Source organism: Homo sapiens, chromosome 1 (assembly GCF_000001405.40).
Source record: "Homo sapiens chromosome 1, GRCh38.p14 Primary Assembly".
NCBI lineage: Eukaryota > Metazoa > Chordata > Mammalia > Primates > Hominidae > Homo > Homo sapiens.
Genome location: NC_000001.11, coordinates 106,007,509 through 106,033,467, shown reverse-complemented (window position 1 = coordinate 106,033,467; position 25,959 = coordinate 106,007,509). Strand labels below are relative to the sequence as shown.

General features: G+C 33.3%; 2 long non-coding RNA genes across 2 annotated transcripts in view; one reads left to right on the top strand and one right to left on the bottom strand.

The window, feature by feature from the left end:
* Positions 1 to 4,883: 4,883 nt before the first annotated feature.
* On the bottom strand, positions 4,884 to 5,321 carry LOC124904595 (uncharacterized). The gene is made up of 2 exons (XR_007067036.1): positions 5,256 to 5,321; positions 4,884 to 4,999 (listed from the first exon to the last, which is right to left on the bottom strand). It is a non-coding gene; the product is annotated as an uncharacterized LOC124904595 (long non-coding RNA).
* Positions 5,215 to 25,959, top strand: part of LINC01677 (long intergenic non-protein coding RNA 1677) — a 100,630-nt gene continuing 79,885 nt past the window's right edge. Inside the window, exons 1-3 of the long non-coding RNA NR_146609.1 lie at positions 5,215 to 5,662; positions 6,186 to 6,265; positions 10,256 to 10,386. This is a non-coding gene — a long non-coding RNA (long intergenic non-protein coding RNA 1677). The remainder of the gene's footprint in view (positions 5,663 to 6,185; positions 6,266 to 10,255; positions 10,387 to 25,959) is intronic.

Below are 25,959 nucleotides of genomic sequence, written 5' to 3'. Positions count from 1 at the left end.
CCCTTAGGACCCATTTCCACATAGTGTTCCCCAGGCTTCTGTCTATAGAAATTGAAAAAATAATGCAATTACTTTGGTGTGTATTAAAGTACCAGTTGTTCATACTTCGTAATTCATCCTCTGGGGCCAATTGGTACATAAGTCTAGCTATAGGTTTAGAGGCTATGATCCCTCTGAGGAGGATAAACAGTCCCTTAAAAATAGGCATTTCAAGTTCTTCAAGCAAGGGAAGCCTAACTTCCTGGGAGAGGGAAAAAGGCTACACCCACTGTCAAATATGGTTCAATAGAATGTACCAGTTTAAGGTCTCCAGCTTCATGGAAATACGCCTCTATGTTCTCATCCCAATTCTCAGAAATTAAGTCCTTCCCTAACAATGCCCTATATCTAACATTAGGAATCCTATGAACAGGATAATCCAATTTGTATTATAATTCAGCTATTCGTAGGAATAGACTTTGGGTTTAGTTTTCTGAAATCTCAACCATGAAGCCATAAGAAATAAGAGTTTCTTACAGAAAATTCATAGAGGTTTTCTAATCCCTTGAACTTGAGTAGGTATGGATTTATCATTTGAGCATATCATTTTCCCGCATGATTTTTTCACTGCACTTTATAAGCAATGAACCAACTCAATTTTACTGCTTATTTTTACAAAACTGTTTCATGGTAGCAACCACTTGTCATGTAGTTTTTCCCTTTCTAGGTGCTTGAATACAAGTAGCTAAAGAAATAATTTTAGGTGACTATGTCATTCTGCTTGCCTGGAGTACCAGTACAAACTTTACAAATAGAAACAATACAAGATGAAAACTGAGGCAGCCATCGAGAATAATATATATTTGAAAAAAATAATATTTTACTGTTTTTAGTCCTATTAATAAGTGGACTACAAAGAGAAAGGGAGCTTTCTAAAGAGCAGAATACAATTGTTTATTTAAGATTACTTATCCCAATGAGCAATAGATTTATTTCTCATGAAAATAGAACATTCAGATAGACTATTGATTTGCTTCACCTGTTCTATCAACTATAGAAATCAACCTCCCAACACTAATTTTTATACCAAAATTCTGTGTTTCATGTCTGAATTTTGTATGTTCTCTTGGTCTAAATGCATCAAGAAAAGTAGACGTTGCCTTATTTTCCAATTAATAATCAAAGGTGCTATCTAGTCCTAGCTAAATCTAACTAGAAAAAGGATAATCAGGAAATTTCTAGGGCACATAATGTTAAGTAAAAAAGTGGATTTCTATTATTTTGAGTCACATAATAAGGGCTTCTTGTTTTTTCAAATATAGCATTTAGAGGAGCCACATATTTTCAAAATTGGGGATAGTCACAAGCTAAGAGAGGGGAAAAGCAGTAACAGCATTGACACCAGTCAAGAAAAGTCTTGAAAACAAACTGCTCTTTTGGCAAAAGTGTCTGTTTCATTGCTCTGAAATAAATTTGTGTCTATTTCTGGGATGCAAAGGAAACACTTCATTACCCCCACCATGAGCCCTGGTTGAGTAACTAGCTGTGTGTATATGAATTGATGGGTGGAGTACATTGAGTATTGCTCTGTTTACTGTTAAATTTCTAGGGAACATGTGAGACTTCAGTTAGGGAATCTCTGATGCAGTAAGCAGAATAAGTGAGGATGGTTTAGGGCATAGAGAAATTCTACTGCCTGTCGTTATTCTCCACTGGTTCAGAACAGAAGAAATATGTTAGAAGCCACAGAGAAAAATTGAAGTACTAAATTTCATTTGGTTTTAAAGTTGGAAGTAAAACTAAAGTGTTAGTCATTCAGAGAGGAAGATGATATAGAATCCAGAGTGGTCACACACACACACACACACACACACACACGCAGACACACAATGCTTGGGAGACTACTAAGGCTAATGGAGATGAAAACAATTAGGCACTGATAAAATAATATTTTTTTTCAAATTTGTAGAGATATACAATTCCAAGGGTTCTAAGATTGAAAAAAAATTTGTTTTATTCATATGTATTCAAATTAAATGACTGGCTTAAAAAAGTTTATTTGATACAATATATTCCCCAAATATGTGGATAACAGAAATAACTAAAAAAAATTATGTTATATATATGTTTATTTATAATATGTTATAATTATTTATAATGTTATATATAATGTTATATATATGATTTATATACACATATATAATATGTTATACATATGTTTTATATATATACATATATAATATGTTATATATATGTTATATATAGCAGCCACACAAAATACGTGGCTATTGAGCACTTTTGAAATGCAGTTAGTCCAACTGAGACATAGCTAAGTGTAAAATACACATTCGATTTTAAAGACATTCCAAAAGAAAGAATATTTTAAAAACTCAATAATTTTAAATATCTGTTACATGTTGAAATAATTTGATTATGTTGGGTTAAACAAAATGTTAAAATTAGCTTCATCTTTTTAACTTTACTTTTTATGTAAATACTACTAAAGTTAAAATTAAATATATGGCTCTCATTATATTTCCACCGGACAGTCCAGCTCTGGAGGATAAAAAGTATATTCTGATATCAATTATAATTTCCTTTTCACTTCGGAATTTTTTTTTTTTTTTTTGAGACGGAGTCTCACTCCCACGCCCAGGCTGGAGTGCAGTGGCACGATCTCAGCTCACTGCAAGCTCCGCCTCCCGGGTTCACGCCATTCTCCTGCCTCAGCCTCCTGAGTAGCTCGGACTACAGGCGCCCACCACCATGCCCGGCTAATTATTTTTTTATTTTTATTTTTTAGTAGAGATGGGGTTTCACCGTGTTGGCCAAGATGGTCTCGATCTCCTGACCTCGTGATCCACCCACCTTGGCCTCCCAAAGTGCTGGGATTACAGGCGTGAGCCACCGCATCCAGCCTCACTTGGGAATTTAAAGTAATATAAACATTATACCTAGGAAGATAGATTTGATGTGTGATTCTTCAATTCTGTCTTTCTAACCTGAAAAATACTTTCTTCAATCTTTCCTGCATTTACATTAAATTTAAAACTTCAATATGTTCTCTGTGAAATAGATAAAAAGAATTTTCTTTCTTTACATGAATTCTTTTAAAGTTTCTACTGGAAGTAGAAGCTGAAATCCTACTCCGAATTTCCCCCTTTAGGAATACTCTGAAATGTTTAGACAATAATAGTGAAATTCCCCTTGGTAGATGAAACTTAGAAAGTCTTCTATTTACTATTCCTACAATCTTTGTTACCACCAACACTAGCAATACTATCATTATTAATGTTTGCTATGTACAAAATAGTTTTCTGTTGTTGTTTTTGAGATGGGGTCTCACTGGGTTGCCCAGGCTGGAATGCAGTGGTGTGATCATGGCTTATTGCAGCCTCAACCTCTCTGGCTCATGTGATTCTCCTGCTTCAGCCTCCCAAGTAGCTGGTACTACAGGGGTGTGCTTCCACATCTGGTTAATTTTTGTATTTTTTGTAGTGACAAGATTTCATCATGTTGCCTAGGCTGATTTTGAACTCCTGGGCTCAAGCAATCTGTCCACCTCAGCCTCTCAAAGTGGTGGGATTTTAGCCCTGAGCCACAAGGCCTGGCCTCTATTAAATATGAAGAATTTATTGTGCTAAATACTTTAGGTTCATTGTCTCCCAAGAATACTATAGACTATTAGTCCTGTTTTACAGAAAAATAAAAAGACAGCTTGAAGAATGTAAGTAATTTGTCCAAGGTTACTAACCAGTAAGTAATATGGACCAGATCTGTCCATAAAACCTGTGTCTTTAGTGTCTTACACAACTAATATCACTGTGGCAACAAAAATATCTGTGATACCAAACTCTACCTTTTGAGACTAGATAATCCAATTATCAGTTGTAATTCTATTTCCATTATTAATGCATTATCTCACATCATATAAAACAATGTTATATTTTATTTCTACTGTTCTAAAGAATATTATTCTACTTGTTTACGATATATTTATGTAACTCTCCTGCTTAATTCACTTATGCATACCAGCAGTTTATTTTGAAGGAAGTGTTAGTAGCATCATGTTGGATACACAATTCTTGATGTACCAAGAACGGGATATTTGCCATTACAGTTCCCACTAAATTCCAACAGTGCCTCCCATTTACTGTGAAAATAAAAAATTATTCCATGAATTTCTAAATACCCTGGTGAAGGTGAAGTAAGAAACAGGATATGTCTATGGCTGATTACCTTTGAGCATCTGATTCAAATGTTCATATTTAACTAAAGCCTTATATTCACAGCCTCAGGTTGTAGCTTAACACACATGCAGGTGTATTCTTACCTGACTTTCTCGATTTCTATTTTGCAAAGTAATGTAAATCAGGTCCTCCTGATAACCTCCATTTATATTTTTAGCTATTTATTTGTTGTACTTTTTTGTTTTAAAACAATTAAAAACTTACAAAAGTATGTAAGAAAAAGACATTTCCATTTTTTTTTTCTGAACTATTTGTGGGTAAGTGGTCAACATAATGCCTCATTGACCATGAATATTTAAGTATGGACTTCCTACATATGAGGTCACTATCTTACAAAGCCACAGCACCACTCTCAAAATAATTATAATTACAAATGACAGAAATTTTATTTTATTTTGTTTTTAAAAATTATTTTAGATTCAGGGAGTACATGTGCAAGTTTGTTACATAGGTATATTGCCTAATTTTGGAGTGTGGCTTCTATTGAACCCATCACTCAAATAATAATCATTGTGCCCAATAAGTAGTTTTTTAACCCTTCCCTTCCGCCTCCCTCCTTCCTTCCTTTTGGAGTCTCCATTATCTATTGTTTCACCTCTGTGTGCATGTACACCCATTTTTTAACTCCTACTTAATAAGTGAGAACAGGCAGTATTTGATTTACAGATTTTATTTTCTAAAAACAACTGCAACTCAATCTCCCTTCTGTCTTGCATGCTCTTATTACAAAGTGAGTTTCATCCTCCTGCTATCAAATGTGTGGTTTTGACCTGGAAAAGGAAAGGTGAGAAGGTCTTTATTTCCTGTTCTTGAATCTGGGAAGGCTCTGAGACTTATGAGGCTAATGCATAAATAGTTTAAAGAATTTTAGCTGATTCTCCTAATACACTCGCTATTGAGATGCAGTCACTATGCTGTGAGGAAGCCCATGTAACAATGTGGAGATTCTGAAGTGAGTTCTGGGTTCTAAGCCAACAGCCTAAATACTTTAGGTCCATTATTTAGGTCCAAGTTCAACCACTAGACCTGTACTTCGCAAGCCTTCAGAGGATTCCTGCTTTCAGCCCGCAAGCTTTTTCAGCTGAAGCCCCCAGTATCATGGAACAGAATCAGATTATTTCCACTGAGTCCTTTTCAATTTCTTAACCCACAGGATTTATGAGCATTATGAAGTCATTATGGCTTTCTGCCACTAGGCTGAGAGTGGACCACATATACAGAAATAAAAAACTATTAATAGAAAAATATATTGCAAACATCTAATCCTCAAACCCCATTCAAGTTTTGCCAACTACCCTCCATCCTATCAAATATTCCTTATACCAAAAAGATCCAGTTCAAAAATAAGTGTTGCATTTATTTTTTAACCTCTTTTGATCTGGAATAGCTCCTCACACCGTCTTTCATGACTTTAGTGCTTTGGAAGACTACAGGTCAGTTATTATACAAAATGTCATTATATTTAGATTTGCCTAAATTTTTTTTATTACATTCAGACTAGGCATCTTTGTAAGGAATACTACAGGAGTGATGCTGTGTTCCCAGACATTCCTATCTGCTGGAGGCACAAATTCTACTTGTTCTATTACTTGGTAATATTCACTTTAATGCTCAATTAAAGTGGTGTTTGATAGGCTTCTCTACTCATTTTTTAAGTCTTATAATTAGTAAGCGTTAGTGGGGAGATATTTTGAGACTAGGTCAATGTCCCATTTCTTACAAAAGATTTGTTACCTTTTCACATAAGTATAGACTCATGGATTCTTGCTTTATTCTATGCCATAATTCATTACTCTGTATTTATTTTGATGTCCACACTGTCCCAGATTTAATGAAATGTAATCTCCTTTAAGCTAGGCCCTGTGCCCTTTTGATACCTACCTATGATTCTTTAAAACAGTATTCTTTATATCTGAAAAATAAAGGAATTTCTACTTTCTGGCTTAATATAATAAGATGTTTAGGCTCATCTGAAATTTCCCTGCCGTCACCTGGGAATCAACCATTTCTTCAGGGAGTCCTAGTTTCTTTTAGCGGTAAGTACTGTTTACAAAGCAATGTCTGGTGAGTAGGTATGTTTGTGTTTTATGCTAAATCACATGGTAGTCTCTTTACTGGCTTAGGCAGTTTCAGTGCCCTATACCTGGCCCCTAACTCATTTCTCTAAAGCTAAAAAATAGGTGTGTCTATTTGATGTATTTACGTTTTTCTCTCCTAGTAAATAAATAGTTTTGTAATAAGTTAACTTTTATAACATTTTCTCCCTATTCTGTTATTGGAAGAGAAATATGCTGTTTTTTTATTAATTTAAATATTATGTATAATTCTGTCTGGGCGAAACATGCACACACACATGTAAATGCACACACACATTTTATGCCATGGATCATTTCACTGGAAAACTAAAGTGGTATCTCTGGTTAACATTTTGAAAATTGAAATCCCATGAGAGTTAGTTGTGCAAAACTGTTTTATGTGATAATTGACTATGTAAAACCTGAATTACAACAGTATAGAATGGCTTGGAATTTTATTTAGATAGTCTTCAGTGTCAAACAAGAGACAATTAGATTTATTCAATGGAATGTTAATTTTCATATAAATGCAAGTTCTTAACTAAGCCATGTTTTCTAACACATTCAGGATAGGGTTATGAATACATATAAACCTTGGTGAAAATTATTTAAATAGTCAAAGATTTATTTCGAGGAGAATTTGGTGTCAAAAATAGTGTAAGGTATTAGGGATACATATATTTAAGACATACTCCCTATATTAAGGAATTTACTGTCTAGTGGGGAAAGTAGCTATATAAACAAATATAATATGGTGCAAAGAGTAGGTCTAGGGGCAAAAAATTCCACCTTCGTCCCCTTGGGGTTTCAGCTGGATCTGAGAATTAAATTGACATTAGATAGATTAACAAGATAAAAGTGTAATACAAATTTTACAGGGCATGGAAGCTCTCATAAGGAAATAAAGACCCAAAGAGGCAGTTAGGGTCAGTTACTTAAACACTGAATTGGACAAAGAATAGTTAGTTGCGAAGAAGCAACTAAATCATGTGGGAGGCTTAAAAGACAAGAGGTATTTTAACAAGATCTTTACATAGTTTTTAGTTTTGACTTCTCATCCTTGAATATAAAGATTTTGCATCTTTCTAGTAAAGGGAGGGCGTCTTTCACATGGGAATTTTATCTTCTGCTTTTGAGAGACAGCACAGAGGTCAAAGTGATCTTTTGTACGTATTGTTTTTTAAACCACTTTAAACTTAAATAGCCAATATGCCAGAATAGCATATTTTAACCTCTTCAAGGTCAACAGTAGTGATGAGCACATAGTGGATTAATGCACAGAAGAGGCTTCTCTATGAGTGAGTTGGAAAGGCATTTGGTAGGATAGGATTCCCATTTTGCTCCTTGAACCAGACCAAGCAAGGTGAAATACTCTACAGAACATACTACTGCAAGCAACTTTTATGAGAGTTTTTTTTATTGTTGTTGTTGTTTTGTTTTGCTTTGTTTTTAACCTAATGGAACTGATACCAACACAGCCAAGTTGGGGAACCAGAAATATTTTCAAGAGCAGATAAGTTCATAGCAAGAAGAGTAATATCAGTGTCTTAGCTAGTTTCTGAGAAGATGTTGTTTCCTTATATTCAAAATCAGAGCTTTTTAATTTTTTTCAAATCAGTACTGTGAATAAAACAGAGAGAAAGCAAAAATGATATAATTTTGTTAGCCTTAAAACAGAGGTTATGCTACAACATCTTACTCTTCTACTAATCTGATACTTCAGATTGATTTACCTTAAATCTTCTTACTTTAAAACTTCCGATGGACCTTAAATCTTCAGGATGGTTTAAGGTCAATTTACTTGCATTTTTACGCTAGCAGAGTATATGACATATTGTATTAATAAAAAATGTTAAATTTGTCATGCTGACTTGACTCTCTACACTTATGGGAATAAGGTGAAGAAATATAATTAACCACTTTTCTATTTTTCCACTTGGGCTTTTAAAAAATGTACATTTTTTCTTCAAACTATTTATAAATTACTCATAGCCCTAATTTCATATTTATCTCTCATTCGGGAGTGTTGGCCATATTTAGACTGATTATGTTTTACTGAATTCTGAGATGTTAGGAAGCCTTAATATCTTCTACATTGTGTTATTTAAGTCACAAATTTAAATGTAAGTAGAGTGAAGGCTGCAGATAACTATTTTTTAAAAAATAGTTTTTATTGTTTCGTTATATTCACTCCTAGGACAGACACTGTGGGATAAATGCACTGTAAATATTTATATTACTTTACAAGAATGGGGATCACAGACTAAATCCCTATATATTGCTCTAAATATTTACCCTCCTGTATTAGTAAAGTTACTCAAGGACATTGCCAATCATTCTCAGTGTTTGCAAACAATAAGAAGGGTTGCAAAATTCAGAGAAGTAATCATTTCATTTTTACAATGGGAGAATGCATAAGAAGTAAAGAAACTGAGTGTCTTATCAAGATTGTCTCATATACATATAATTAATTATATATCAGTAAACATATCTTATATAAGTATAAAACATAGATGATGATAGATAGATAGATAGATAGATAGATAGATAGATACCCACACTTTAAGATAGCAAGTCCCTGAGGATATACATCAGTTTTAATTCTTGCTGGTGGTAAACAATGTGGTAAAATGGAAAGTGAGAATAAAGTGCTTATATAAATGTGAGCAGACAGATCTAAGTCACTCTCAGAAGGTAGCTCTTACTCCATGGAATATCCTGGTAGCAATGATAAGTACTTTTTTCTTCTTTTAATCAGATAGCTGATTAACATTGAAACACAAAGTCTCATTCTCTCTCTAATTATACTATTTTATCTTTCCTTGTCCTTTTGTTATTTTCCATATACATTACTACTCCTTTAATAAGAAAGTTTTGCATTCTTAATCCACTGATATGTTTTTTCCCAATCTGCTTAGTCCCATTAATTTTTACTTCCTTTCCTGTTTAGAGTAATCATTATGGACTACTACTTCTAATGCATCTTCATATTAATTGTCTATAATTTTGATAAATCAGTATAAAGCTGAACATTAACATAAATATGTGGGAGAAAAGTTTAGTTTCTGAAGACTCTGCATTTTAAAATATAAACCGATATCATCTCTTTTTGATATATACTCAGTAGTGGCATTGTTAGATTATGTGGTAGTTATATTTTTAGTTTTCTGAGGCCCTCTTTACTGTTTTCCATTTTAGCTGTACTAATTTACATTCCCACCAATAGTGTAATAGGGGTCCCTTTTCTCCATATTCTGCCCCAAACTTGACATTTCTTGACATTTCTACCTTAGTCAACCTGAAGACCAATTATAAGTTGGCCAAGATGTTTAATTACAAAGATTAGAATTATCAGTTGTATCTGCTTTTCCATTCACTGGTCCTTTAAAGGCATAAACTTTTTATTCAATTTGTTATGCCCACCACTGAGCATAATACAAGGAACATATTAGGTCCTCAAGAAATGCTTACTGAATCCACCTTAATTGATAATCAAGTTATTGTTGGTTCACTCTTCTCCATACATTTTTTTTTTTTTTTTTTTTGAGATGGAGTCTCACTCTGTCATCCAGGCTGGAGTGCAGTGGTGTGATCTCGGCTCACTGCAAACTTCACCTCCTGCGTTCAAGCGATTCTCCTGCCTCAGCCTCCTAAATGGTTGGGATTACAGGCATGTGCCACATGCCCAGCTAATTTTTGTATTTTTAGTAGTTATGAGGTTTCACCACGCTGGCTAGGCTGGTCTCAAACTCCTGGCCTCAAGTGATCTGCCCACATCAGCCTCCCAAAGTGCTGGGATTACAGGCGTGAGCCACCCCACCCAGCTCATATATCGTTTTAAAATCAATATTATATTGATATGAAATTGAGCAAGATAAAATAAAACACAGTAAGGTATTATCATAGTAAATAATTAAATTTTCATTGTTTTTTTTTCTACCATCATTATAGTATAGCCACCAATTTCTACTGAGTATTTATCTACTATATGGCAGGTCAAGTCTGCATTCTGGGATAAAGTGTTGACACAATCTTGAATCAGTGCCTAAGGAGTTCACAAGTCCAGAGAGGGGATAGCGCATGTGAGTAATTCTAACATAATATTTTACAATCTGAGTTGGAAGTACAGAAGCACATAATTTCGTTCTGCAAAGGGAAGTAAAAGATTTCTAAAACAGAATCATATCTAAAACAGACTGTCTTATCATTTTTATTCTTGGGGCCTAACAAAATGGCCAGTAATTTTTAAAAAATGCCATGTTGAATTCAAAATAATATTTTAACAGTATTATTTATATTTAATATGTTACATATAATTTAATATACATTTAATATTTAATATATTGTAATTTCACTCTTGTATCGTTTTCCTGTATACTTATTTTTTGTATTTTTAGTAGGGACAAGGTTTCACAGTTAAGTTCAAAATGGTATCTGTCCATTGACTATGAATTTTTTAAATGTTTAATATATTTAAGAGAATTTGTGAAGTAGGATAGAATTTGAGATTTTTTTAAAAGGACATCTTAAGAAATCATTAGAATAAGATTAACCCAAAAATATCGTCATATAGAAATTGTCTTTCAAAAAAGTTAACAGAAATATAAGTATGATGTAATTATTTTGTTAATTTCATCAATAAGGGAACTAATATTGAGAAATAACCCTGCCCTCTAGTGGTGATTAATAAATTTTAAAATATACTGAAAACACCAGTTTGCTGTTACAGCAAAGTTCACATTGACATATATTTGAATAGAAACACTGAAACCATGTATTCTGCATTAATAAACAGACATGATTAAACTAACAGCCTTGAATGTTGTTTAGTAGATTCATCCCCCTAAGAAATTTAGTAAAACAAATTTTAGTAAATGAAAAGTGTCACTGTGTTTCTCCTTGTGAATGGTATTACCAATGTTGAATTAGATTCTTTGATGGAATCCTTTTTCCATTTGAATTTTGATTAGAAATCCACAATCTAGGGAAAAATTTACAAAGTCTCAAACTTGTTTTACTCACCCCCTACCAATTTTCATCACCAATTCTCTCCACTGCCCTGATAAGTCCTCTTCATATGCCATTTGTCTCTGCTTAAATATTGGATAAGCCATTTCTCTCTTTTCTGAGATACGACTCGAAGGATCTATACAAAAAACACAATTTATTGCACTTCATTTGATATTTCTTTTTAAATCCTGAGATCTCTACATGCCTGATTATATGCTAGGTATCATCTAAACTATATTTTATCCCATGTTTTTTCCTAAAAGAAGGATAATACTTTTAGACAAACGTAGCATAATTAATTATACAATTTATTCATGAAAGAAACTATACTTATGTACTGATTTTTTTTAATTCTGAATTTTGTGCTATCTGTATTTTAAAACTCAACATCTATTTTTACCTATGACTGTCATAAAAAATCAGAGGTAGCCTCTAGTTACATAATCACAACATGAAGAATTATTAGATATTTTAGAAATAACTAGATCAATCCCTCTATTACAACAAAGTAAATGTTCAAATGTGTCTACTGACTTTGCCAAGGTTTTGTAGTTGCTTGTTTCACTAAAAGTCAGAGCTAAATGGAAAACATTTTTTAGTTTTGCTTCCAATTTACCTCTGTACCTACAAATATAATATTTCAAAACTGTGTTATATCCATGTCCTCACTCTGAGAATCTCTGAATTCATTACAGTACATATCAAAAGTTAAGGACTTCGAAAGATTGTCCTGGTGGGCTCAGTGTAATCACAATGATCCTTACAAGAGAAGGGCAGGAGGGTCAGAATCGGAGAAGGAGATGTGATGACAGAAGCAGGAGTGAGAGTGAAAAAGAGAGGGTATGAGAGAGGGTGTGCATGTGTGTGTGTGTGTGTGCATGTGTGTGTCTGTGTGTGTGTGAGAGAAAGAGAGAGAGAGAGGGAGAGAGAGAGACAGAGATATTAGGAGACACTGTGCTTTGAAAATGGGGTAATTAATGAACCAAAGAATGCAAGTAGCCACTATGCCTTCTACTGAAAAAAAAGTAAGGCAACAGAGTCTCCCCAAGAGCCTCCAAAAGGAACACAGTCCTGCTGACTCATTTTAGACTTCTGACATGCAGAACTGTAAAATAATAAATTTGTGTTTTAAAAATAAAATAATAACTTAGGAACTTGTTAAAAATTCAAATTCCCTGGTACCAACCCAGACAGACTAATTCATAGAAACAAGGGGAGGGATTCAGAAATCTGCAGTTTAAGAAGCCCTCTAAGTAATGAATGCTAAGCCTGGGTGATATTGACTTACATAAAGTGTTTTCCTCACCTATTGCAGGGAAGATTACTGCAGGAGGTTATTTCTCATTGTGGTTTTGATTTGCATTTTCTTTATAATTAGTTTTATTGAGTGCTTTGATACCTGTTGGCCATTTCTATGTCTTCTTTGGAAAATGGAAAAATGTCTATTTGGATCCATTGCTCATTTTATGATGGGGTTATCTGGCTTTTTGCTATGGAGGTGTATGAGCTCCTTAAATATTTTAGATATTAACTCCTTATCAGGTATAAGGTTGGCAAATATTTTTCCCATTCCATAAGTTGACTTTCCATTTTGTCAGTGGTTTCTTTTGCTGTACACAAACTTTTTGTTCTTTCATCCATATTTTATAATTTTTAGTTCATTGTATTGACTACGTTTATTCTTAAGTATTTTATTCTTTTAATGATATTATAAATGGGATTGTTTTCTTAATTCTTGAATAGTTCATTATTAGCTTATAAAATGCAACTATATTTTATATATTGGTTATCCTGCAAATTTACTGGATTTCCTTATAAGTTCTAACAGGTGTTTTGGTGGAGTCTTTTTGGGTTTCTACATATAAAATTATGCCATCTACATACAGGGATAATTTTACTTCTTCCTTTCTGATGTAGATGCCTTTTATTTATTCATTTCTCTCCTAATTGCTCTGGCTAGAACTTCCAGTACAAAGTTAAGTAGAAGTAGCAAGAGTGGGAGTCCTTGTGTGGTTCCAGATCTTAGAGGAATAGCTTTCTACTTTTCACTTCTGAGTATAAGGTTAGCTGTGGGTTTGTCATATATGGCCTTTATTGTGTTGAGGTACACTCTTTCTAAACCTAAATTATTGAGAGTTTTTACCATAAAAGCATGTTGAATTTATCCAAATATTTTCTGCATATATTGAAATGATTATGTAACTTTGTTCTTCGTTCTGTCATTGTGATTTATCATATTTATTGATTTGCATATATTAAATCATCTTTGCGTACCAGGGATAAATTTCATTTGATCTTGGCAAATGATTCTGTTAATGTGCTGTTGAATTTGGTTTGCTAATATTTTGTTGGAGATTTTTCCATCGATGTTCATCAGAAATGTTAGCCTGGAATTTTCTTTTCTTGTAATGTTTTTGTCTGGCTTTGGAGTCAGAGTGATGTTGGACTAATGAGTTTGGAAGTACTCTGTCTTTAATTTTTTGAAAGAGTATGAGAAGGATTGGTTAATTCTTTTGTAAATGTGTGTTCGAACTTACCAGCTAGTCATCAGGTCCTAGGATTTTCTCTGATGCATATTTGATATTACTTATTCAGTTTCCTTACTTAAGGATCAGAGCAGATTTTCTATTTCTTTGTGATTCAGTCTCAGTAGAGATATGATTTTAGGAATTTATCCATTCTTACAGGCTGTCTTAATTGCAGGTATACAATTTTCCATTGTAGCCTCTTATGATCCTTTGTATTTCTATGGTATCAGTTGTAATATCTCCTTTTTATTTGTGATTTTATTTATTCAGTCTTTACTCTTTTTGTATTAGTCTGGCTAAAGGTTTGTTGATCTTGTTTATGTGTTTTTAAAAATCCATCTTTTAATTTCATCGATATTTTCCACTTTCCCATAGTCTCAATTTTATTTTTTTTCTGCTTTGATATTCATTATTTCATTTTGACTACTAACTTAGGGCTTAGTTGTTCCTTCTTCTCTAATTCCTTGAGGAAAAGTAGTGTTAGATTGTGTATTTGTTATTTTTATATAGGTATTTATTGTAATAAATTTATATCTTAGAATTGCTGTCATAAACTCTAATAAAGTTTGTTTCCATTTATATTTGTCTCAAAATATTTTTTAAGTTTTTATTTTTTGATATATCATTTTATCAGGAAATGCTGTTTAACTTACACATATTTGTAAATTTTCCAGGTTCTTCTTGTTATTGATTTCTCATTTCATACCAGAGTCATAATGATAAGATATTTAATTTGACTTCAATCTTCTTAAATTTGTTAGGACATATTTTGTAGCCTAATACGTGGTCTATCCTGGAGAATGTTCCATATGCACTTGAGGAGAATGTATGTACTGCTGTTGCTAGATGAAATTTCCTGTATATATCTGTTGGTCCATTTGGTCAAGGTATACTTTCAGTCCAATGTTTTCTTGTTCAATTTCTTTCCAGATGACTCATCTATTTTTGTTTAAAGTCGGTAATTGAAGTACTCTACTATTGTTTTACTGCTATTTCTCCCTTCACATCTATTAGTATTTGTTTTATATGCTTAACTGTTTAAATGTTGGGAGCACATATTTTTACAATTGTTATATCTTCTTAAAGAGTTGACTTCTATTATTATATAATAAGGGTTTTTGTCTTGTTTTACAGTTTTTTAATTTAAAGTACGTTTTATCTGATATAAAAGTATAGCTCTTTTTGGTTTCTATTTCCATGGCATTTTTTTTTATATCCATTTACTTTCTGCCTCTGTGTGCTCTTAAAGTAATTCTCTTGTAGAGAGCATAGAGTTGGGTCTGACATTTTAAAATTGAACTACTGAGTTTCTTTTGATTTACATTTAAACTAATCATTGATAGGTAAAGACTTACTGTTTCAATTTTATTGTTTTCTGACTGTTTTGTACATCCTTTGTTCCTCTTGCTAGATTATTTTGTGATTTGATCGTTTTCTATGGTGCTATGCTTTAATTCCTTTCTATAACATTTATGTATATATTATAGTTCTTTTCTCCGTATTTACTATGAGGCTTACCAGAACATCTTATATTTTAAGCTGGTAACAACCTAACTTTGATCACATACAATAACTTTACAACTTTCTTCCCCACACATATTTTATATTTTTGATACTATTTACATTTTCATATTGTTTATTCATGAACAAATTATTGGAGTTATAGTTATTTTTAATATTTTTGTTTTTTAACCTTTGTACTGAAGATGTAAGTTATTTTCACACCACTATTATAGTATTAGAGTCTTTAACATTTGAATACCTACTTAATTTTACCTGTGTACCAGTGAGTTTTATGTTTTTTTTTTTTATTATACTTTTAAGTTTTAGGGTACATGTGCACATTGTGCAGGTTAGTTACATATATATACATGTGCCATGCTGGTGCGCTGCACCCACTAACTCGTCATCTAGCATTAGGTATATCTCCCGATGCTATCCCTCCCTCCTCCCACCCCCCCACAACAGTCCCCAGAGTGTGATATTCCCCTTCCTGTGTCCATGTGATCTCATTGTTCAGTTCCCACCTATGAGTGAGAATATGCCGTGTTTGGTTTTTTGTTCTTGCGATAGTTTACTGAGAAGGATGATTTCCAGTTTTATGTTTTATATATATTCATGCTACTAATAGCATCCTTTTAATTCAGCTTGAAGAACTGCCTTTAGTATTTCTTGCAAGACAGGTCTAGTGATGATGAGTTCTCTCAGCTTTATCTCTCTCTGGGAAGGTCTTTAGTTTTATTTATTTTTCATGCACAGCCCTGCCCAGTAAAGATAGTATTATTAGTTGCATGCTTTTTTTTTTTCCCCAGAATTTGGAATGTAGCATTCTTCTTTCTCCTGGGCTACAAAGTTTCTTGCTGAAAGATTCCACTGACAGCCTTATGGGGAACATAAACGTATATATAAACTATATATAAACTATAATAGATATATAAATATATAATAATATATATATAATAGGTAATATATAATAATATATAATATGTAATAATATATATAACATATATATAAACTATAATATATACATTAAAGTTATAGAAAGGAATTAAAGCATACCACCATAGAAAATTATCAAATCACAAAATAATCTAGCAAGAGGAACAAAGGATGTACAAAACAGCCAGAAAACAATTAATAAAATTGAAACAGTAAGTCTTTACCTATCAATGATTAGTTTAAATGTAAGTCAAAAGAAAACCAGTAGCTCAATTTTAAAATGTCAGACCCAACTCTGTGCTCGCTACAAGAGAATTACTTTAGGAGCACATGGAGGCAGAAAGTAAATGGATAGAAAATAAATTCCATGCAAATAGAAACCAAAGAGAGCTATACTTATATCAGATAAAATATACTTTGAATAAAAAACTGTAAAAAAAGACAAAAAAATTGTATGTGAGAAAAAAATCATTTGTTGCTTTCAAGAGTCTCTGTTTATCTTTAGTTTTTGAAAGTGTGACTATGCTATGTCTTGGTAAAGTTTTCTTGGGGTTGAACCTGTTTGGACCATTGAGATTCATGTACCGGGATGCATGTATCTCTCCTCAGCTTTGGGAAGTTTTCAGCCATTGTTAAAAGCTCTTTATCTCTTTTTCTCTCTCTTACCCTATCTCACTCCTATAACACAAATGTTAACTCTCTAGATGGAGTCCCATAAATTCCACAGGCTTTCTTTATTCTCTTGCATTCTATTTTGTCTTTTTTCTCCTCTGGTGATTGTTTTCAAATGCCTGTTTGAATTCACAGAATATTTCAGATTGCTGTTGATGTTGTCTACTGCTTTTTAAATTTTACTCATTGTATTATTTAGCTTCAGAATTTCTGTTTGCTTCTTTTTATGATTTCTATTTATTTCTAAAATTTCTCTTGTTTTTTATGAATTGTTTTTCTGATTTCATTAAGTTGTATACCTGTTGTCACTCACTGAAATTTACTAAAACAATGATTTTGGGCCACGTATGATTGCTCATAGATATAATACCAACACTTTGAGATACATAATTATATTTTACATATAATTACATATACAATTCTATTACATATATAAGCACTTTGTTTACATAATTATCATAGGGTTCTCATATACCTACTTTATTAGAACTTTATTTTAAAGATATTGATGGCAGATTTTTTAAAAATATGCACATTCTCCCCTTTCATGTAAACAAAATTGTATTTTACCTTATGGAAGAGAGAATGAAGAGAACTTTATGTAAATTACAGGTTTAAAAATAAGAATATAGATAAAAAGTCATACATTTTTTTCAAGTTCAATGAATTAAGAATTCTTTAAAAATATCAACAGTCATATTAATTATGTTGGTATGTGGCATTTTTATTGTAAAATTTCTATGTAGAAATGCTTTCTATGATCATTACCTAGCTATATTATGAATAACTTCATCTGTAATGTTATAATATATTTATAAAATTCTAATTTATTTAAGTTGATAATTAAAAGAACATGTCATTAATTTGTATATAAAAATAAATCATTATTTTAAAATTTAGGCTAAGGTAGTAAATGTGGATCTAAAGAAAATTAAAATATATAGATTTTTTATTTTTAAATCATGTGACAATAATTATGTCTATTTTAAAAATATTTTTAAAAGCTTGAATATTTTGTAAAATGGTATTTTTTTTTAGATTTTAAAGTAAAAAATACATTTTTTAAGATGATGAACAACTTTACCTTTGAAACTTTCTATGGTCCTGTTATGATTTGAATCTGTGTCCCCACCGAAATTCCATTTTGAATTGTAATCTCCAATGTTGGAGGTGGGCCTGGTGGGAGGTAACTGGATGATGGAGGTGGATTTCTCATGAATGATTTAGCACCATCCACTTAGTGCTATCCTTGTGACAGTGAGTGAGTTCTCATGAGATCTCACTGTGTAAAATTGTGTAGTACCTCCCCTATTCCTCTCTTGCTCCTGCTCTGGCCATGTGACGTGCCTGCTTCCCCTTCACCTTCCAACATAACTGGAATCTTCCTGAGGCCTCCGCAGAAGCCAAGCAGAGCTGGCATCACGATTCCTGTATAGCTGCAGAACTGTGAGCTAGTTCAACCTCTTTTCTTTGTAAATTATTCAGTCTCAAGTATTTCTTTATAGCAATACAAGAATCACCTAATACAGAAAATTGGTACCAAGGAGTGGGGCATTGCTACAATGATATCTGCAAATGTGGAAATGACTTTGAAACTGGGCAACAGATGAAGATTGGAAGAGTTTGGAAGGTTCAGAAGACAGGAAGATGAGGGAAAGTTTGGAACTTCTTAGGGAGTGACTAAATGGTTGTAACCAAAATGCTGATAGTAATATGGACAGGGAAGTACAGCCTAAGGATGGCTCAGATGAAAATGAGGAACTGGAGCAAAAGGCACATGTGTTATTTCTTAGCAAATAAGTTGGCTGAATTGTGTCTATGACCTAGGGATCTGTGGAGTTTGAACTAGAGACTGATGATTTAGGGTACCTGGTGAAAAAATTTCCTAAGCAGCAAAGTGTTAAGTGTGTGGTGTAGTTGCTTCTAGCAACCTATGCTCAGATGCATGAGCAAAAATTGATCTAAGTCTGAAACTTACATTTAAAGGGAAAGCAGAGCATAAAAGTTTGGAAAATTTGCAGTCTAGCCATATGGTATAAAGGAAAGCCTATTTTTAGAAGAGCTCAATCAGGCTGTGGAGCAACTACTTGTTAGACATATTTGCATAACTAAGAGGAGTCCAAGTGGTGATAGCCAAAGCAATAAGGAAAAGGCCTCAAAGACATTTCAGAGAACTCTATGGCATCCCTTCCCACCACAGGCCCAGATGCTTAGAAGGGAAGAATGATTTCATGGACCAGGCCAAGGGCCCCACTGCCCTGCGTAGCCTCGGGACACTGTTCCTTGCATCCCAGCCACTCCAGCTCTAGTTGTGGCTCAAAGGAGCACAGGTATAACTAGGGCAGCTGCTTCAGAGGATGTAGGCCATAAGCCTTGGTGATTTCCTTTTGGTATTAAGCCGGAGGGTGCACAGAATGCAAGAGTTAAGGCTTGGGAACTTCCACCTAGATTTCAGAGTATATATAGGAAAGCCTGGGTGTCAGGCAGAAGCCTGCTGCAAGGGTGGAGCCCTCACACAGATGCTCTACTAGTATAGTGAAGATAGAAAATGTGGCATTGGAGACCCCACACAGTCTTCCCTGAGGCACTGTCTAGTGGAGCTATAAGAAGAAAGCCACCACCCTCCAGAACTCAGAATGGTATATTGTATATATTCATTGTATCCACTGGTGGCTTGCACACTGTGTGTAGAAAAACCAAAGGCAGTTAGCTACCACCCGTGAGAGCACCTGCAGGGGCTGAACACTGCAAAGCCAGAAGGGCAAATCTTCCCAAGGCCTTGGGAGCCCACCCTTTGAACCAGTGTGCACTGGATGCAGCAAGTGGACTCAAAATAGATTATTTCAGAGCTTTAAGTTTTAATGAATATTCTGCTGGGTTTCAGACTTGCATGGGACTGTAGTCCCTTTCTTTTGGCTGACTTATGCCTTTTGAAATGGGAATATTTGCCCAATTCTGGTACCTTTATTGTATCTTGAAAGTAAATAACTTTTTTTTCTTTATTTTACTGGCTCATAGGTAAAAGGGAGTTGCCTAGTTTCAGAAGAGACTTTGAACTTGAGACATTTAAGTTAATACTGGAATGAATTAGGACTTTGGGAAACTAGTAGGAAGGCATAATTGCATTTTTCAGTGTGAGAATATGAGACATAAGAATTGTCAGAGTTGTAATGATATGATTTGGATCTGTGTCCCCAACAAAATGTCATGTTGAATTGTAATACCCAGTGATGGAAGTGGGTCTGGTGAGAGGTGATTGAATCATGAGGGCTCATTTCTCATGAATGGTTTAGCACCATCCACTTTGTGTTATCCTCGTGGTAGTGAGTGGATTCTTTCCAGATCTCATAGTTTTAAGTTTGTGGCACCTCCCCACTTCGTTTCCTGCTCCTGCTGCCACCATTTGACTCACCTGGTCCCCCTTTGCCTTCTACTGTGATTGGAAGCTTCCTGAGGTCTCCCTAGAAGCAGACACCACTATGCTTCCTGTACCGCCTACAGAACCATGAGCCAATTAAACCGCTTTTCTTTTGAAATTACCCAGTCTCAGGTATTTCCTTACAGCAGTCTAATGTGAGAACAGCCTAATATAGGTCCTAAATATGTCTGGCATGTATCAGTGTATAAAAAATAACAACATTAAAGAAAAATTAATTGGAATTATTGTGATTCATACTATACATATGTAATTTAAGAGTATTAATGTGTTATTTTAAGAGACTCTATTAATCACATATTAATTTTGAAGATGACTTTGCTCATTGTTTGGTTAAGTATAATAGATTTCCCCAGATAATACGAGTTACAAATGCTTTCATTTTTGTGCTTTGAAATCACTATAAGAAACTTCATTGTGCTCTTCTTCTTTAGCTCTCAATCCAGTATAACATGTAAGTGAATTACTGTAATTAGAGTTGTCTTGTCATTTCATATTTTTGATAAAAATTTGGAATTGGTATTTACACAATCACATCAACAAACCTAATTAACTTCTCTACATACCCTTTACTAATGCAGAGTGAAACATCCAGGAACATGAAATATATTCTGTAAATTCAAAGGCCATAAAGGAAGTGGAATGTTGGATCAGAATAATGCCTAATGATTTAGTGACATTACAGTTTAATCTTCACATGAATATTTTGAGTTAGAGTATGTTGTTCATTAATTGGTTGATTATTTTATTCCAAAATATTTAATTGGCATGGTACTAGCTGCCATAAACTGTTTTAGGCACTAATTATACAGCAATAAACAAAAGAATAATACCTGCCCTGACGTAATCTACATTACTATTATTGTTACCATATAAATGAAAATAAACTGAGTTTAAAAAGTTGTTTTGGTTAATGTCACAAAAAAATGTGAGAGTTGAGATTTTAATACAAAGTTCCTTGACCTCAGAGTGAGTGCTGTTACCATACACACAGCAACATATGGCCTGTAACAATAGGCTACCAAGTCATAGATTTGTTAGGTCCCCAACACTGAAAATTAATAGTGAGTGGAGCTTTCTAGTTTTAAAAATATGTTTCCTAGAGAATGCTATAAAACATTGAAAGAAATCAAGGTAAAAAATCATGAATTAAACTATGTCTCTAAGAAACTCTGTAGCCTGTTCTGTTCCTTTCTATGCCTGATAATTTACTTGAATTGTCTTTGAATCTAAAGGGACAACAGAAAAGAATATTAGAGTATTTAAAATATTTAGACAATAAGTATTGTTCTGTATGTAACTTTGATTATTCCTTAAATTATTTTGGAGCAATCAAGATACCTCAAATACCTTCATTAATCAATTAATTAATCAATATCAGTTACAGCTGAAGAAAGAGGAAAACTTATGAGTTATAAACATATTCCATGTGTGATTGTGAGGCAATTCAATTTCAGCAATAAATTTTCAAATTCTAAACTTCCTTGAATTCAAATAGGCAAGATATTTATTTTAAGATTGCAAGAATTTTGATAATTATTTTCATGTAAGTATTTGTTTAATATTTCCTTGATTAACCATATTTTCCATGAAAGCAGAAACCTTTTCTTCTTGTTCACTGATGTGTCATCATGGCTTATTACACTTTGTATGTGATCAGTAAATGACTTAAATAAGTGAAGGGCTGAATGCTCCCAATAGTAACAGATATACAACACTCATCGCATTTTTGCCATCAAGCATTATTATTTTATTTATTTATTTATTTAAGCAGACGGAGCCTCACTCTGCCACCCAGGCTGGAGTGCAGTGGTGTGAATTCAGCTCAGCTCACTGCAGCCTCCACCTCCCAGGTTCAAACAATTCTCTGATCTCAGCCTCTCGAGTAGCTGGGACTACAGGTGCGTGCCAACACACCCGTCTAATTTTTTTATTTTTAGTAGAGTCAGGGTTTTGTCATATTGGCCAGGCTTGTCTCAAACTCTTGACCTCAAGAGATCCGCCCACCTCAGCCTCTCATTGATGGGATTACAGGTGTGAGCCACAGCACCTGGCCATCAAGTATTATCAATAATAATACTCAGTAATAATTTAATTAGTTAATTTATCAGGTGGGAGATTAACCTAACTCTTGTTATTATTTGGTTACTGGTGAGGATAAACACATTTTCTTCTGTTTATGTTTTTTTTTGTTAAATTCTTCATCTTAAATTGTTCATATGCATTTATATCTATTGAGATTTTACTTTATGTTTATGTTTTAGTTTAATTGATTCTTGTATGTAACAAGCAAATTGGCTACTTATATTTTCTGGGCAGTAAGCTGTCCCTTAATAGAGTATAAGACCTATCTCTTTTAAAGTGTTTTCAGTAATCACTGTTACTTTCTGCCTGGCACACGGACTTGGAAGAAGCTTAACAAGGCTGAGTTAAGGAAGAGGAATACCTGAAAACTAGATGGATAAGTAAGGCTTCCCCTTCCCAGATTCCAAAAATTGGGCAAGTAATTGACTCTTTTATTTGTCAATTAGTCTAATGATCAAGGCAATAAATATAAAACTGCCAATGTAAAACCTATTTAGCAAATATCAGGATTTCTACTAGAATATAGATATAAAAAATACAGAATAACAAAAAACCAACAGCATTCTTTTTCAGTCAGACAAAATCCCTTCAGAAAGATAAAATAAACATCGGAAAAAAAACCAAATTGTGTATTTTAATTGCTTAGATTCTGTGAAACAAAGAAAAAGAGCTCCACTTGAGAAAGTCAGCTGATATTTTACAGAATAGAGACAAGTAATGCAATTCACACTTCAATAAATATGATTGAAGACTGCTTAGAACTTAAATATGAAATGAAATAGATGCTATTTGGAAGAGAGGATAATTCAGGAAAGTCTTTTGGAACAGTAGGAGATATTATTTCTTATTTTTTAAGATACAATTTTATTAGGAAAGTGAAATTCACCTTGAATTAACATGTTCAAAATGGTGGGAACTGCTAAGGAGAGTGAAAAACAGATATAAACCATCTGAGCATAGACATTTTCTAAATTTTTTTTTTTTTTTTTTTTTTTTTTGAGAAGGAGTCTTGGTATGTCGCCCAGGCTGGAGTGCAGTGGCGTGATCTCAGCTCACTGCAAGCTCCGCCTCCCGAGTTCACGCCGTTCTCCTGCCTCAGCCTCCTGAGTAGCTGGGACTATAGGCGCGCGGCACCACGCCCAGCTAATTTTTTGTATTTTTAGTAGAGACTGAGTTTCACCGTGTTAGCCAGGATGGTCTGGATCTCCTGACCTCGTGATCCGCCTGCCTCGGCCTCCAAAAGTACTGGGATTACAGGCGTGAGCCACCGCGTCCAGCCGACATTTTCTACATAATTTTATCTGTAATAGTAATCACTAAGTAATTGTATTTGTCTTTATCTTAATCATGTCTTCAAAAATTCTCTGTGAAGAATTTGGTAGGAATAGATTCAATTTTATGAGTTCTTCTATTTCTCTGGACAAAAAAGAGTATAGATGTGAATAAACATTTATCCCCAAGTAAAGAAAATAGGAAAAAGCCACAAAAGTTAATTCGGTCCATTTTTCAGTATTTTTCTATATGCATGCTTAAGAGCTAATGAGAACCTGTCAAGTACTGTGATGATTGGGGAATTAAGATTTATTCTAAGTGACAATTCAGCACAATTTTCTGGAAAGAAAAACAGGAAAAAGGAAGACATTTAACTGGAATTTTGGTAGTGAAAGAGAAAGCAGCAAATAAGAAATAAGCTAATTACATAGGATTGACACATATAACACAATATACTCTAGGCTGGGAAGTTTGTGACCAGTTCAATCCCTGACTAAGCTCTGTTTCTGAGGACTTGTTGAATGATGCCAATCTTTGTCCTTCTTGGTGTCTAATTCATTCAATAATTATGGTTATATCAGCCATTAATTATGAGGCTTTATTGTATCAAGTGTTAGAGAAAGTAAAAATTAGATAGGCAATTATATTCAGATGCTACATCTTTTGGCCCAAAGCAATTTACCTAATTCTTTAAATCTTCTCTTTACTCATGTGTGAAATGAGAAAATTTATATCTTCCTTATAGGATTGCTGAAAGGACTTAATGAAATAACGCATGTAAAACAGTACAGTACCAGACGTATGGTAATGAATAAATAAATAATTTTAGATTATGATGATGATGAAGTGCTTGAAAATTGAAAATAAACTATTTAACTTTTGTAGTCTGTGATTTGTCTATTCATTCTCTTAACAATACATATTGAAAACTGGATATATAATATTTTTAAAAATCACTTATCAGTATATTCTTCTATGGAACCTGCTTTTGATGTTGTATTTAAAATATTCTTCACCTAACCCAAAGTCACAAATATTTTCTCCAGTGTTTTGTTCCTACATGGAGTATACTTTTAGACATTACATTTAGGTCTATGATCTATTCTGAGTTAATTACTGTATATGATTCAAGGTTGGTCTAAGTTCATTTTTAAACATGAATATTCAATCATTCCATCCACATTTGTTTAAAGGACTGCTTATTTTTTTTTAATTACTAGATTGCCTTCACATATTTGTTGAAAACTAGTTGTCCATATATGATTAAGGCTACTTATATACTCTTTATTCTGTCCCATTATTCAAATTGTCCATCTTATGCCAGTAACACAATGTTAGTTAAGATTAACATAAATCTTGAAATCAGATAGGGTTAGTGCTCCTTTTTCAAATTAATTTTTGACTATTCTAAGTTCTTATAATTTACATTCACATTTGAGAATCAGTTTGTCAATTTCCACCAATGGAAAAATAGCATGTTGGTGCCTTTATCAAAATATTTTATGTACCTCATAAATATATACATCTAATATGTAACTATAAAAATTTAAAAATAGCAAAATTTAATTTTAAAAAATATACTGGGATTCTCTTAATAGATATTCATTTTTATTTTTAATAGACTTCATTTTTCAGAGAAGTTTTAGATTCACAGAAAACCTCAGTGGACATTACAGAGATTTACCATATACCCTGTTGCCATGCATGCATAGCCTCTCCCATTATCAGCATTCCTTACCACAGTAGTACTTTTGTTATGATTGATGAACATATGTTAACAAATCATGCCACCCAGAGTTAGGGTTCACTCTTGACATTTTACATTCTGTTTGTTTGCACAACTTTTTATGATGCATATCCACCACTACAGTTTCATACAAGTAGCTTCACTGCCCTAAAAATCCTCTGTTTTATGCCTATGTATCCCTTTCCTTCTCAAACCATAGCAATCACAGATTTTATTTTCTTATTAATACTATCTCCATACTTGTCTTTTCTAAGATGTCATATAATTGCAATCCTTTTTTGATTGGTTTCTTTCATTTAATAATACACATTTATGATTTCTCCATGTCTTTTTGTGGCTGGGTAGCTTTTTTTTTTAGTGCTGGATAATACCCCATTATGAGGATGTAACAATTTATTTACACATTCATTTATGGAAGGACATCTTGGTTGTTTCCAAGTTTTGGTAATTATGAATAAACCTACTA